Below are 12,990 nucleotides of genomic sequence, written 5' to 3'. Positions count from 1 at the left end.
AGTTAATCTGTGGAAGGGATATGATTGATACCCTCTAATGTCATAAAGCTTGGCAAAGAGAGCCTCTCTGTCAAGGCTGAAGATAGTAAAATCAGAGGAAAATGAAATTGTGTCTATGAAGGAAAATGGAGACACAAAAGAGAGACTAAGTTTTTATCAACTGGCATGACCCTATATTCCAAGAGCCAAGTAGATCAGACCTATGAGCAGTAATTTGGGAATAAACAGAACATATACTAGGACTTGGTTGATACTTGATGGGATACTTGGTTGTGCAGGACTAGGCTTTATGTAACAGTTTGGATGTGGTTTATAGGTACAGCTGGAGGCTTGATGGAAAGTTCTCCGTGACTCTCTAGCTTTATGTTTTACAACCATTGTTTTTTACCTATCTTATTTCCCCTACTCTATTCTATAAGATTCCTCCTATTAAGTAGTTGACAACTTTTTCTTTTCTTCCTGTCTCATTCTAAAAATTCATCAGTTTGCCTTTCTTACTTGTCTTTGTGCAGCGTCTGTATGGCCTTCGGTAAGTGATGTAACATCTCTGGGCCTCAGTTAACTCATCTTTAAAATAAGGAAAATCATAGTTTTAATCTAGTGATACATCTATTGATAAAATCACTAGTTTTAATCTAGTGATACATTTCTAGCAGTAAAATGGTCTAAACTTGGGTATTACTTTTCTGTGTAAAATTAATATAAATGTCATCAATATTGTTTCAAACCCAAAAAGCAATTTTCTTTTTTTTTTTTTTGAGACGGAGTCTTGCTCTGTCATCCAGGCTGGAGTGCAGTGGAATGATCTTGGCTCACCGCAACCTCTGCCTCCCAGGTTCAAGTGACTCTCCTGCTGCAGCCTCCTGAGTAGCTGGGATTACAGGCATGCACCACCATGCCTGGCTAATTTTTGTATTTTAGTAGAGGCGGGGTTTCACCATGTTGTTCAGGCTGGTCTCAAACTCCTGACCTCGAGATCTGCCCCACTTGGCCTCCCAAAGTGCTGGGATTACAAGCGTGAGCCACTGCCCCCGGCCCCCTCAAAAAGCAATTTTCTACTTCAATCTTTATATGTAGAAATAGATTTCTGATTACCCTCAAAAGAGTCACAAACTCAAATGCCTATAGAGGCCATTCAATTGAAAAGAGTATAACCATTTAAATAATTTGCCTATAGAACACATAATATGTGCTCACCTCTTTAAAATTTTCAGATGTTTCAAGAAATTCTGGAAATTTGTTTCTTTTTTGTTTTTTGTTTTGAGACGGAGTTTTGGTCTTGTCGCCCAGGCTGGAGTGCAATGATGAGATCTCAGCTCACTGCAACCTCTGCCTCCCAAGTTCAAGGGATTCTCCTGTCTCAGCCTCCATAGTAGCTGGGATTACAGGTGCCCACCACCATGACCAGCTGATTTTTTTTTTTTTTTTTTTTTAAGCAGAGACAGGGTTTCACCGTATTGTCCAGGGTGGTCTTGAACTCCTGACCTCAGGTGATTCACCCACCTTGGCCTCCCAAAGTGTTGGGATTACAGGCATGAACCACTGTGCCCGGCCTGGAAATTTGTTTTTTAGTTCAAAGTTTTCTGATTTTTAAATGTTAGCAATTAAGAATTTTGTAATCACTCTGAGTCAAACAAAACCCGAGTGGGGAGTCAAATGTAGTCCATAGAAGGCCAATTTCCAAATCTATGCCTTTTATCTTCTGATATGCTCTCCCAGGTGGCTTATTGGGAGTTGTTAAGAATTACTTTAAAGGTAGTTTTAATTTTTTTTTTTTTTTTTTTTTTTTTTTATTATACTCTAAGTTTTAGGGTACATGTGCACATTGTGCAGGTTAGTTACATATGTATACATGGTAGTTTTAATTTTTAAAGAGAACTTTTTTCTTTACATTCTTGCATGTGTTTGATCTAAAACAGTTGATGTCAAAGTGTGGGTCATAGACCAAAAAAAGTATGTAGAGTAGTCTGTAATACAATGTATGTGCAAACAAGTTAGACTCTGGAACATTCCCATCCAGCTCTGGGGGAAATAGGAGGCAGATTTAGTGCGAGTGACATCATTGTAAGAAACTCATCTACTCTTAGTTGAACAGCTTAAAGGAGAAGCTATAACTGGCAACGCTGTCTTCCTCATCTGTACACTAAACTGACAGAGGCCACCAGCCATCTTGGAGTTGACAAGAGAGGCTGAAAAAGACCTCACAGAAGATGATATCTAATGTCTGGTTCATTCCTTATTCTTTGCAGAAAAGCATTGCCTCACTCTTACTAATAGTTCCTCTGCTATAGCACAAATGGCATATAAATGTGTAATAAATCAAAGGACCCTGGCTTTTGCTTTCTTTTTTAGGGATTTTTTTTTTTTGTTTCCTGTCTGTGGTAGAAGAAAGAGGAAGAGGCACAGACTGGGTTCTTAATTTGTGTATTCTCTCCCCAAATTTTGAGAACTATTGGTCCTCTAGTAATACTCGTTAGGCAAGAATTTTGTGTAGTAAAAAATAGTGTCATTCTCAAACATTTTTGGTCATTTCTGTGGTCTTAATGCTGGTTCAAAGATTGTGTGTGTGTGTGTGTTTGGAGATCAGTACTACATTTAAATAAACCACCATTTGTGAGATTTCACATAAAAATCTGGACTTTCAGTTTCTTTCGGAAAATGGAAGGAAGTTTCCCACATACTCACAATATGCTGGAGCTGAGCATTAGCTAACCCATCTAGGAGTATTAGCCACTGAATTGATCACTTTCCATTTATTTTGTAAACCCCTAGCCACTTCTGCTCTCTGTGCCTGAGGTTCCTCATTTGTAAATGCAGATTATAGTCATACCAACTGCATTGAGTTGTTACATGGATTCATTTTTAAATTAATAAATATATCAAGCACTTAAAAGAATTCTTAGCGTGTGTTGAACAATCAGTGCTAGTTGTTACTGCTATACCTTTTGCATGTACAAGGTTTATTGTGCTGCTTTAGGGGTTTCACTAACAAAAGAATGAGAAAATAATCCCCTAAAAAGATGCCAATGTCAAAGTGTAGAAAGAAAATTAAGCACAGAGTCAAAGTGAAAAAGCCCAGTCCCAAGTCTACTCCTGTCACCTTGAACAAGTCTCTTAATCTCTCTGGGTTTTAGGTTCCTCGTTTACAAAATAAGAAGAATAGATGCATTGTCTTCAGAGGTCCGTTTCTGAAATTGAATATGATTGAAGGTTTTGGGGGAAAATTAGAAGAAGTCATGCTGTGACAACAGATGCCAAGAGGGGTTAATTTTCTCCTTGAAAAACTGAATACTCTTTCAAAAATTTCTTAGTTAAAAATTAATGTTCACTGTATTTCATATAGATTTAAACTATGATGCAGTGCTTTTCTTATGCTACCAATTAAACACTGTTTCTCTTGCTCCATTCCTCCAGGAAAGAAAACTAGAAATCTGGTCTTTGCTCAATAGCAAGGAAATTCATATTTCTTTTATTGAATGCATAAGTAGTAAAAGGGGATGTCAAGGCCAGGAAGCCGGAGAAAGCATACCTGTTAGAGTAAACAATGGCAGGTCAGGCAAAACTGAGAAACGTGGCATGTTTAATTGTGAATGAGAGAAAGTACATGTCTTTGTTTACAAATCTCATTTACATGATAGTAGTCTCCCTCATCTTTCAACTGTATTAAATGTTATGGATTTGGGGCTATCTTTGTATAAGACTATAATCGAATTTTGATTTTAGTACCATATTATACCATACACAAAATTAGTTAACTTGATTCTTTGGCTAAGTTTAGGGCATATCAGTTGGCTTTTGGATATACGTTAATTGTTTTAGATCACCAAATAGTAAGTTTTAAAGTTGGAAAGGACCTTAGAAATGATTTACTCTATTTATGCAGCCAAAAGACACATGAAAAAATGCTCATCATCACTGGCGATCAGAGAAATGCAAATCAAAACCACAATGAGATACCATCTCACACCAGTTAGAATGGCAATCATTAAAAAGTCAGGAAACAGCAGGTGCTGGAGAGGATGTGGAGAAATAGGAACACTTTTACACTGTTGATGGGACCATAAACTAGTTCAACCATTGTGGAAGTCAGTGTGGCGATTCCTCAGGGATCTAGAACTAGAAATACCATTTGACCCAGCCATCCCGTTACTGGGTATATACCCAAAGGATTATAAGTCATGCTGCTATAAAGACACACGAACACATATGTTTACTGCGGCACTATTCACAACAGCAAAGACTCGGAACCAAGCCAAATGTCCAACAATGATAGACTGGATTAAGAAAATGTGGCACATATACACCATGGAATACTATGCAGCCATAAAAAATGATGAGTTAATGTCCTTTGTAGGGACACGGATGAAGCTGGAAACCATCATTCTCAGCAAACTATTGCAAGGACAAAAAACCAAACACCGCATGTTCTCACTCATAGGTGGGAATTGAACAATGAGAACACATGGACACAGGAAGGAGAACATCACACATCGGGGCCTGTTGTGGGGTGGAGGGGAGGGGGGAGGCATAGCATTAGGAGATATACCTAATGTTAAATGACGAGTTAATGGGTATAGCACACCAACATGGCACACGTATACATATGTAACTAACCTGCACATTGTGCACATGTACCCTAAAACAAAGTATAAAAAAAAAAAAGAAATGATTTACTCTAAATTATATTCTGGTGACATCCTGACAGCCTATAAAAGTGTCAAGAAAGTAGAATTCATGACACTTACATCCAGGTAGGGTTTGTGTTCTGAGAATTAAGAACATTTTGATATAATTTTGGATGATAGTTTATAAAGGGATTTAAACAATTTATAACAAATGAGATAGAAGGTAGCTTTCAATGAAATTTAACCTGGATAGTCTCAGGATAAGAGGTGCTAATGGGAATTTTTTTAAAGAATGTGGATTAGTAATTATTTATAAAGTGGTCAGAATGACCATACACATGCACGGACTGTCATGGTAGTATGTTGGGATAAGAGGTATGAGAGTTGAAAGTTAGTTTCAGTATAGGATTTTAAGAACAATTGTAAGGAAGCTAGTCATGCAGGAGTGACATTTTAAACTTTAATTTCATTTTAATCTATTTCAGAGACCATCATGCAGACATCAGAGACTGGGTCGGACACAGGCTCGACAGTGACCTTACAAACATCTGTGGCTAGTCAAGCAGCAGTGCCTACGCAGGTGGTACAGCAAGTACCAGTACAACAACAGGTAAGGAGCTGCTGCTCTTAGAAAAGATGCTGTTACTTTCATTATGTTGGCTGTCCAACATACCTGTATCCAAAAATTATTTGAACTTTACTGTCTTGCTATGATAGGCATACTTCAGTTTTTAGGTTCATTCAGCAAATGTTTCTTGAGCATTTCTTGGATGTGCCAGGTTCTTTCTGTGCTAGGCTATAGGGATACAAAAATGAATACTCAAGTTATAATCTGTATTCTCAAACAGCCTGTCTTGACTCCTAAAGCAAGTTATTTTTTCTGATATGACCACTCAAAGTTTTCTCCTTCTCTTCTCTCCTCATTGTTTATCACAACTTTCTATTTCTTTCATATTGAAATGTCAGCAATATTATACTTTATTTAGTTGGCTCACAGTAGTACTTAATAGGATGCATGCACCTTCCAGGCAGGGATTTTGCCTTTGTGGTATTTTAGAAAGTGCCTTTGCATTAGGTGGTTGATAAATACTGTTGAATGAAAATAGAATAATCTTCAAGGTCTGGAGATCTGACTCAAGCTATTTAAAAAGTTGGGAGTGAATTCATCATCAGATATTTACTACAGGTCTTATTCATACGCAGGGCAGTTGGCTTGTTTGGAAAGATACTGACAAAGTAATGCTGTTCATGTATGTGGATTGTGAACACACTGGCCTGTGATTTCTTCTAAAGAGTGGTGAGAACATAAGTGAGAAAGATCATATGTCATATAACATTATCTTGAGATTCAAGATTTGCCTATAATTTCTTAGTATTAAAGAGACTCTTTAGCAAACGTTGCTCTTACAATTATAAATAAGTGGTTAGGGAGAAGGATATAGATGGGTTATAGATGATGAAGGACATTTTTATAATTGATAGATGCAAGGTTATATTCTTTACAGGATATAGAATTGGGTTGGGCAGGGGGTGTGCTGCAATCGTACAGAAGTCATTGGCTTTTAGGATAAGTAAAGACATCTGAGATAATCGTCTTGTGTTTGTTTTGTTTTGTTTTTTGAGACGGGAGTCTCGCTGTCTCCCAGGCTGCAGTGCAGTGGCATCATCTCGGCTCACCGCAAGCTCTGCCTCCCGGGTTCACACCATTCTCCTGCCTCAGCCTCCAGAATAGCTGGGACTACAGGTGCCTGCCACCACGCCTGGCTAATTTTTTGTATTTTTAGTAGAGACGGGGTTTCACCATGTTAGCCAGGATGGTCTCGATCTCCTGACCTCGTGATCCGCCCACCTCGACCTCCCAAAGTGCTGGGATTACAGGCATGAGCTACTGTGCCCGGCCATTTTGTGTTTATTTTTTAAACATTTTTAAAAAAATCTTAGCATACTCTGCCATATACACATATACAACTTTCCCATCCCTCAAGCTACCAGTTTATTAGATTGAACTATATATAGTTTTGATCTACAAAAAGTGTTACATGTTTCAATCTATTGCTTATGTTCCTTTTATTTCTTTTAAGCATATTCTCTCTTTTTTAGAATTGTAGATCCAGAGCATACATATGCAGGTTTGCTTTATGGCTAAATTACATAATGGTGGGGTTTGGGCTTCTAGGGTACCCATTACCCAAATAGTGAACATTGTACCCAATAGGTAATTTTTCAACACTTATCCCCTTCCCACCCTCTCTCCTTTTAGAGTCCCCAGTATCTCTTATTGTCATCTTTATGTTCATGTGTACCAATTGTTTAGCGCCCACTTTATTGGTTATGTTTTTATCTTTTTATATATATTTTTTAACCATTAAAAATGAATCTTCACAATGGTGATTTAAAAGGCTCTGTTATTATTAATGCCATCACCAATTTTAAGACTCTGAACCTTATTGAGAAAGGGATAGCTTTTGTCATGTCATCTGAAGAGCAAGTAAAGAACAATTCAGACATTGTTATAACTAACTTTAAAAAGATAACAGTTATCTTTTTAAAGGCAATGTTGAACATTTAACTCACTCTGGTTTTCATCTCTGTAGAAGAATGGTTTTGAGAGAGTGCCTATCACTAACAAGAGTGTGATGGAAATAGTGTTCCTATCTCTGGAAGGTGCCTTCTGTAAACATGAAAAAAAAGTTTTCTTTTTATTGAATTTACATATTATCAAATATTTACACCAGGTCTTAATAGGGTATATAATAGTATAAAGACTCAAAAAACTTAGCAAGGTCTGTTATTTTAAAAAAATGGCCTTTAACCTCCCCCATTCTCCCACAAACCACTCCTCATAGGCAACTACATTGACCTCTTTAAACCTGTTATTCTGATATTTACCTCCATTTATTTAAATATAGTATACTTATTTTACTGCACCTTGATTTTTTAGTTTTAAGCATTTTAAACATTACCTTAGCATGCCCTTCTTTTGGTCCCTAACACAACACACACACACCCTGGCCCACCCACCCGCCCACCCACCCTTCCTGTCCCTTATGTTCTTGACAGATTGAACCATATGTGTTTTTTTAGGTACAAAAACAATAATTTCATGTCTCAACCTATAAGTTATATTTTAATTTCAGTAAATTCAGTAAATTCAGTGCTTATATTACCATGATATATAAATGCTTTTCAAATCCAGCCTTGTAGTAAACAGTGATTACCTTCCTTTCCTGTAAAACTCATTTATTTTTCTTAGATTTAATGACTGTGTTTCTTCTAGTTTGCAGGATTGCCATGGACAAGCCAAACACCAATCTGATTTCTGATCTTTTTTATGTGGTTTATGTGATTTTTTTTTCTCTGAAACTTTGTAGAATATTTGAAATTCCAGTTTTATGAACTTTATGATGATGTGCATTGATGCAGGCCTATTTTCAAATACTGTACTAGAAACTTCATGGGCCATTTCAGTCTGGACATTCATGCTTTTTCATTTCTGGGAAACTTTATTCAGTTTTTTCATTTATGATTACCTCCCCCTCTGTTTTCTTGTTTTTTTCACTTTCCGGACTTTTTTTGTTCTATTTTCAATTTCATTGTTCAGGCCTTATATTATTTTTAATTTCTATCACTTTTTTTTTAATTTTCAGGAATTTTTAAAAAATTCCTATGTGTTCCTTTTCGTAATATCATGTTTTAATTCATGGTTTTCTTTTACCTTTCTGAAGATATTAATTTTTTTTTAACTTGTTGAAATTTTTTTTCTCTTTACATAGTCTGTTTCTTTTAAGGTACTCTGTTCTGTTTTGTTTTGTTTTTTACTATGTCTCTGTCTTTCATGTTAAAAGCTTTTCTCTGATGTCTGACAATCTGTGGGTGTTTATCCATATTTTAAAATGTGGATATAAGACGCTGATTTGAATGCATGAGTGAGTCTTGTTGACTTCAAAATGGGGTCATCTGACTGACAAGGCTTTTTAATTAAGAACCCTCTGATGTTCAGTATCTTTGTTTGCCCTCTTTGGCTGGTCAATTTTTTTAAGAAGACTTGTCCAACTTCCTGCCTAGTGGGGGAATGCTTGGCTGCCTGGGAGCTGAGTTGGGGAAAGAGTTGGGTATTTATTGCACGAATTTAATTAATCTTTCTCTTTTTTCATGTGGTATTACCCATGCTTGGTATTCCTCAATGAAGAGATTAAGCCAAAGAACAAACCTCCAAACATTTTACTAAAGTTAGGGAAAGCCAGTTACCTTACTGCGTAGGGGTTGGTAGAGGGAACCTGATTGCTTCTTAAGTAGAATCACATTTTATATTAAATACATATATTAAAAACAAAAATTGGATTGCTGTCAGAAGTGGAAAATCAGTGTCACTAGCCATAAATAGAAGATTATACATACACACCCTCACCACCCCCAACACTTCATTCTTGACCTCATAAAAAATAATCTTGTGTACACCTGGACCACACTTTGGAAAAAACATTGTACTGTGCCATATGGCTCACTCCCAACAGGCATATTTTTCATTTCCTCAAGTTAGCTTTTTCTTCTGGGACATTCAAGGCAGGTGATACCTTATATTCCTTTACACCGAGCAAAGAAGGTGAGAACACTCATTTTCTTTTTGTCAACAAAGTGTTTTATTTCACGCAGTTTTTTGTTGTGATATTTGCCTGGAGACCCTTGTTATGTTGTCCTCCCAGACTTATTTAGAAGCATGTTTTTCTTCTTTGTCGTTATTTTTCTTTTTTTTTCTTAAGTAGAATAGTGTCATGTTTGAAGCTCCCCAGTATATTCCAGTGGTGTCCCCGTGGATATAAATTGTCTATAACTGATAAGATTCATGCTATAATTCCTATTCCTCTGACATGCCTATAATGTTTGAATTGTTAATGTGCTGCTATTATCTTGGGTTTGCAAACTATAGTAAAATGCCTTTAAAAGTTTCCAGCTTTTGTTACTGACCCATAATGGATATAGAAATCATGATATTGATGTCAAAGGTAGTTACTTCTGTTGATTCAACTTTTCATTGTAACTTTGCTTTGTTGATTTTGACATAAAGAGAAAGTTTATAGCTAATTTTTAAAATTTTGAGGCATTCAATATTATATATAGGTTGGTGCAAAAGTAATTGCGGTTTTTGCCATTAATTTAATTTTTGCACCAACCTAATATACTAGAATGATGAGTGTATTAGTCCATTTTCATGCTAGTAATAAAGACATACATGAGACTGGGTAATTTATACAGGAAAAAGCATTTAAGGGACTTACAGTTCATGTGGCTGGGGAGGCCTCACAATCATGGCAGAAGGCAAGGGGGAACAAGTCATGTCTTACACGGGTGGCAGCAGGTAAAGAGAGAGAGCTTGTGCAGGGAAACTCCCATTTTTAAAACCATCAGATCTCATAAGAATTACTGACTATCACGAGACCAGCACAGAAAAGACCTGCCCTCATGAGTCAGTTGCCTCCCACCGGGTTCCTCCCACAACAATGTGGGAATTGTGGGAATTACAATTCAAGATGAGGCTTGGGTGGGGACATAGCAATTCCCCACAAGTTTGCTCCAGTTCCCAACAAGTTTCTCATCTCCATCTGAGACCACTTCAGCCTGGATTTCATAGTCCGTATCATTATCACCATTTTGGTCAAAGCCATTCAACAAGTCTCTAGGGAGTTCCAAACTTTCTCACAATTTTCTGACTTCTTCTGAGTTCTCCGAACTGTTCCAACCTCTGCCTGTTATCCAGTTCACTTCTACATTTTTGGGTATCTTTTACACTTTGACATTTTGGGGTATCTTTTCAACAGTGCCCCACTTTACTGGTACCAATTTACTGTACCACCCCAACATGATTCAATCACCTACCACAGGGTTGCTCCCAAGACATGTGGGAATTGTGGGAGTTATAATTCAAGATGAAATTTGGGTGAGGACACAGGCAAACCATATCAATGAGAAACCAGAAAATTTCAGGATTGCAGTATTATACACTTCTTCTGTTTCTTCAAAGCCATAAGGCTTCTAATTTCACCGTGTAGTAAGTACCGAATAAAACAATTCTAAAATTGTTTTTATGATTTTTTGTTTATTTTATATGACCTCAAGTATCCATTTGTCACACTTTCTTAGACAATATGGTTCAGGGATAGAGAATTCTGAACAAAGAATAGCAAGATCTTACTATGTACAGGGCGAATATTACTTACCTGAAATGCCTGGGAACAGAAGTACTTTTGCTTTGGAACTTTTTTCAGTTTGTGGTATATTTGCATATACATAATGAGAGATCTTGGGGGTGGGACCCAGCATTAAACATGAAATATATGTTTTTTTATATATACCTTATACACATAGCCTGAAGGTGAGTTTATACAATATTTTAAGTAATTTTGTGCAGGCTATTACTTGAGGTCGGGTGTGGAATTTTCTTCTTGTGGTGTCATACTGGCACTCAAAAAGTTTAGAATTTTGGAGCATTTCAGCATTTGGATTTTCAGATTAGGGATACTCAATCTGAAATGCTATATGAAATTTCCTGTCTTTTCATGATCTCACAAAACATCATAGAGTCTTATTTCCAAATATAGACATTGTTGCCCAATTCAATAAAATTGATAAAAATATCTAAGTATCTTGATTAGAAACTCAAATTTTGATATTACCCATCCTATCATCTTTATAAAGACTTTTTGGACCAATGGGTCTCTATAGAATATGACTAGAAATGGATTGCTCCTTCTCCTCATCCTTCATCCTTGAATGATTTGGTAAAGAGTTTCTTGTAGATTATTCTTTGTTTTTCATTTTATGCCTCAACCTAGGAGGTCGTCTAACCCCTGCTTGTCCTAGAACTGAGTTAAACATCCAGGAGAAAGACAAAGGAAAATGTCTTCCTACTATTCCATGGCCAGCCAGATTAGTTTTCTTTTCAAGGTAGAACTTTGACAGAAGTCAGAACTTTCATTCTTTATTATAATCTTGGGCTCCAGGTATTCCACAAATACTGCTAACATTGAGGATAATTTCTAAGCCATCTTGACCATGGCTCTAAGATTTTTTTCCTCCCTTTTAAGTTTTTCAGTTTTAACTGCCTTTGCAACTGTAGTCCTCCTCTCTACTATCTCTGTCTGTCTTACCTCTTTCTTGGAGAAGAGCACAAATCTTTTTCTCTCAAAATGAGTAAATGTATTGTCTCTATATTGTTTCTTCTAAATGTAACACATGAGGTATAGTGGAGCCCTGGGGTTCAGGGACTTCTATTGAGTTCAAAGCAAGATTTTCTTTTTTTCAAAGAAGCTTTCAATTTTGCTGAAATTTTTTTATGATTAGAAATTGTAGTCTTTACCTTTTCCTGCTAAGGGACTCAGAGAGTTTGTTTCTGGTAGATTTTTGGTTTGTAATTGGGATATTTGAAACCCCTTTGTATGCCATAAAAGCTCCTTTCAAGACTATATTCAGGAAAGAACATTTGTTTTTTTCTATAAATTGCCTAGATAGACTAGAGAAGGACACTTTGTTCATAATCTGAGTCATTAAAAGGAATAGAATAGCTAGTTGGCTATATTGGTTTCTTTTTGGTTAGTATCAGCCTATCACACATTTAGCCTTTCCACATAAAATATGGTATATCCTGCAAACTGAGCATATTATCCTTGTGGTCAAAAAGATAAAAGACATTTTCTTTGGGGAACAAATCTAACCAGAGTTGTAAATTAGGTTGCAGGAGAAGGGCAATCTTCAAGTAAGGTAAGATTTAAATGAATAGTCTCCATTAGATCTCTTTATTTTGGGTATCTACAAAATGATCTGTTAATCTTTAGGAAATAGATTTTAGTAATTTAAGTGTAATATGAATACTTCTTAGATCCTCACATTTCTTAGACCGTAGTTTCAATACTGGGTCATTTCCATCTTCACTTCTGTTTGCCATATTCTGAGTAGTATGTCGTTACAACCAGTAAGAAACCCTGATAATTAGAATTATACCGATGATAAAGTTTATTGTCATTAAAGCAATCAGTAGTGATTTTTAAAAATTGCCTATAGTTTGTTAAATTCATAATAGAGTATTCTGTTGGATCAAATTTTGATCAAAAGTATCTTAAATGAATTTGTTAGTTTGGGGAGCTATGCCCAAGATAGTGCACTCCATCATTCTTGTCTTTATCTTTCTTTTCTGTTCAGGGTCAAGAGGTTTGCTTTCTGTGAATCCTAGCATTGATGGACATGAATAGAATTCTTTTCATTTGAGACCATTATTTCATATAATCAGCTGAAACAAAGGCATTTTTCTCCGGTTTGCTCTTACTTGGGACTTGATTCCCATTGGCTTGGTTCCCTGAGGGGGGACAGTGTT

The 12,990-nt window shown here is 36.4% G+C and overlaps 1 protein-coding gene across 31 annotated transcripts in view; it reads left to right on the top strand.

Moving 5' to 3' along the window:
* RFX3 (regulatory factor X3) overlaps positions 1 to 12,990 on the top strand; it is a 307,705-nt gene that overhangs the window by 125,295 nt on the left and 169,420 nt on the right. For 30 of the 31 annotated variants that reach the window (XM_047423701.1, XM_047423699.1, NM_001282116.2 and 27 more), the window contains one exon: positions 5,111 to 5,235. In XM_047423701.1, the coding sequence (XP_047279657.1) occupies positions 5,119 to 5,235 (117 nt within the window). In that variant the 5' untranslated portion in view covers positions 5,111 to 5,118. Of the gene's footprint in view, positions 1 to 5,110; positions 5,236 to 5,828; positions 5,923 to 12,990 lie in introns of those variants that run through there. The other variant, XM_047423702.1, reaches the window with a different exon arrangement.

The sequence above is a fragment of the Homo sapiens genome, chromosome 9, assembly GCF_000001405.40.
Source record: "Homo sapiens chromosome 9, GRCh38.p14 Primary Assembly".
Taxonomy (NCBI): Eukaryota; Metazoa; Chordata; class Mammalia; order Primates; family Hominidae; genus Homo; species Homo sapiens.
The sequence above is the reverse complement of the archived record's forward strand: the minus strand, read 5'-3'. Positions and strand labels throughout refer to the sequence as shown.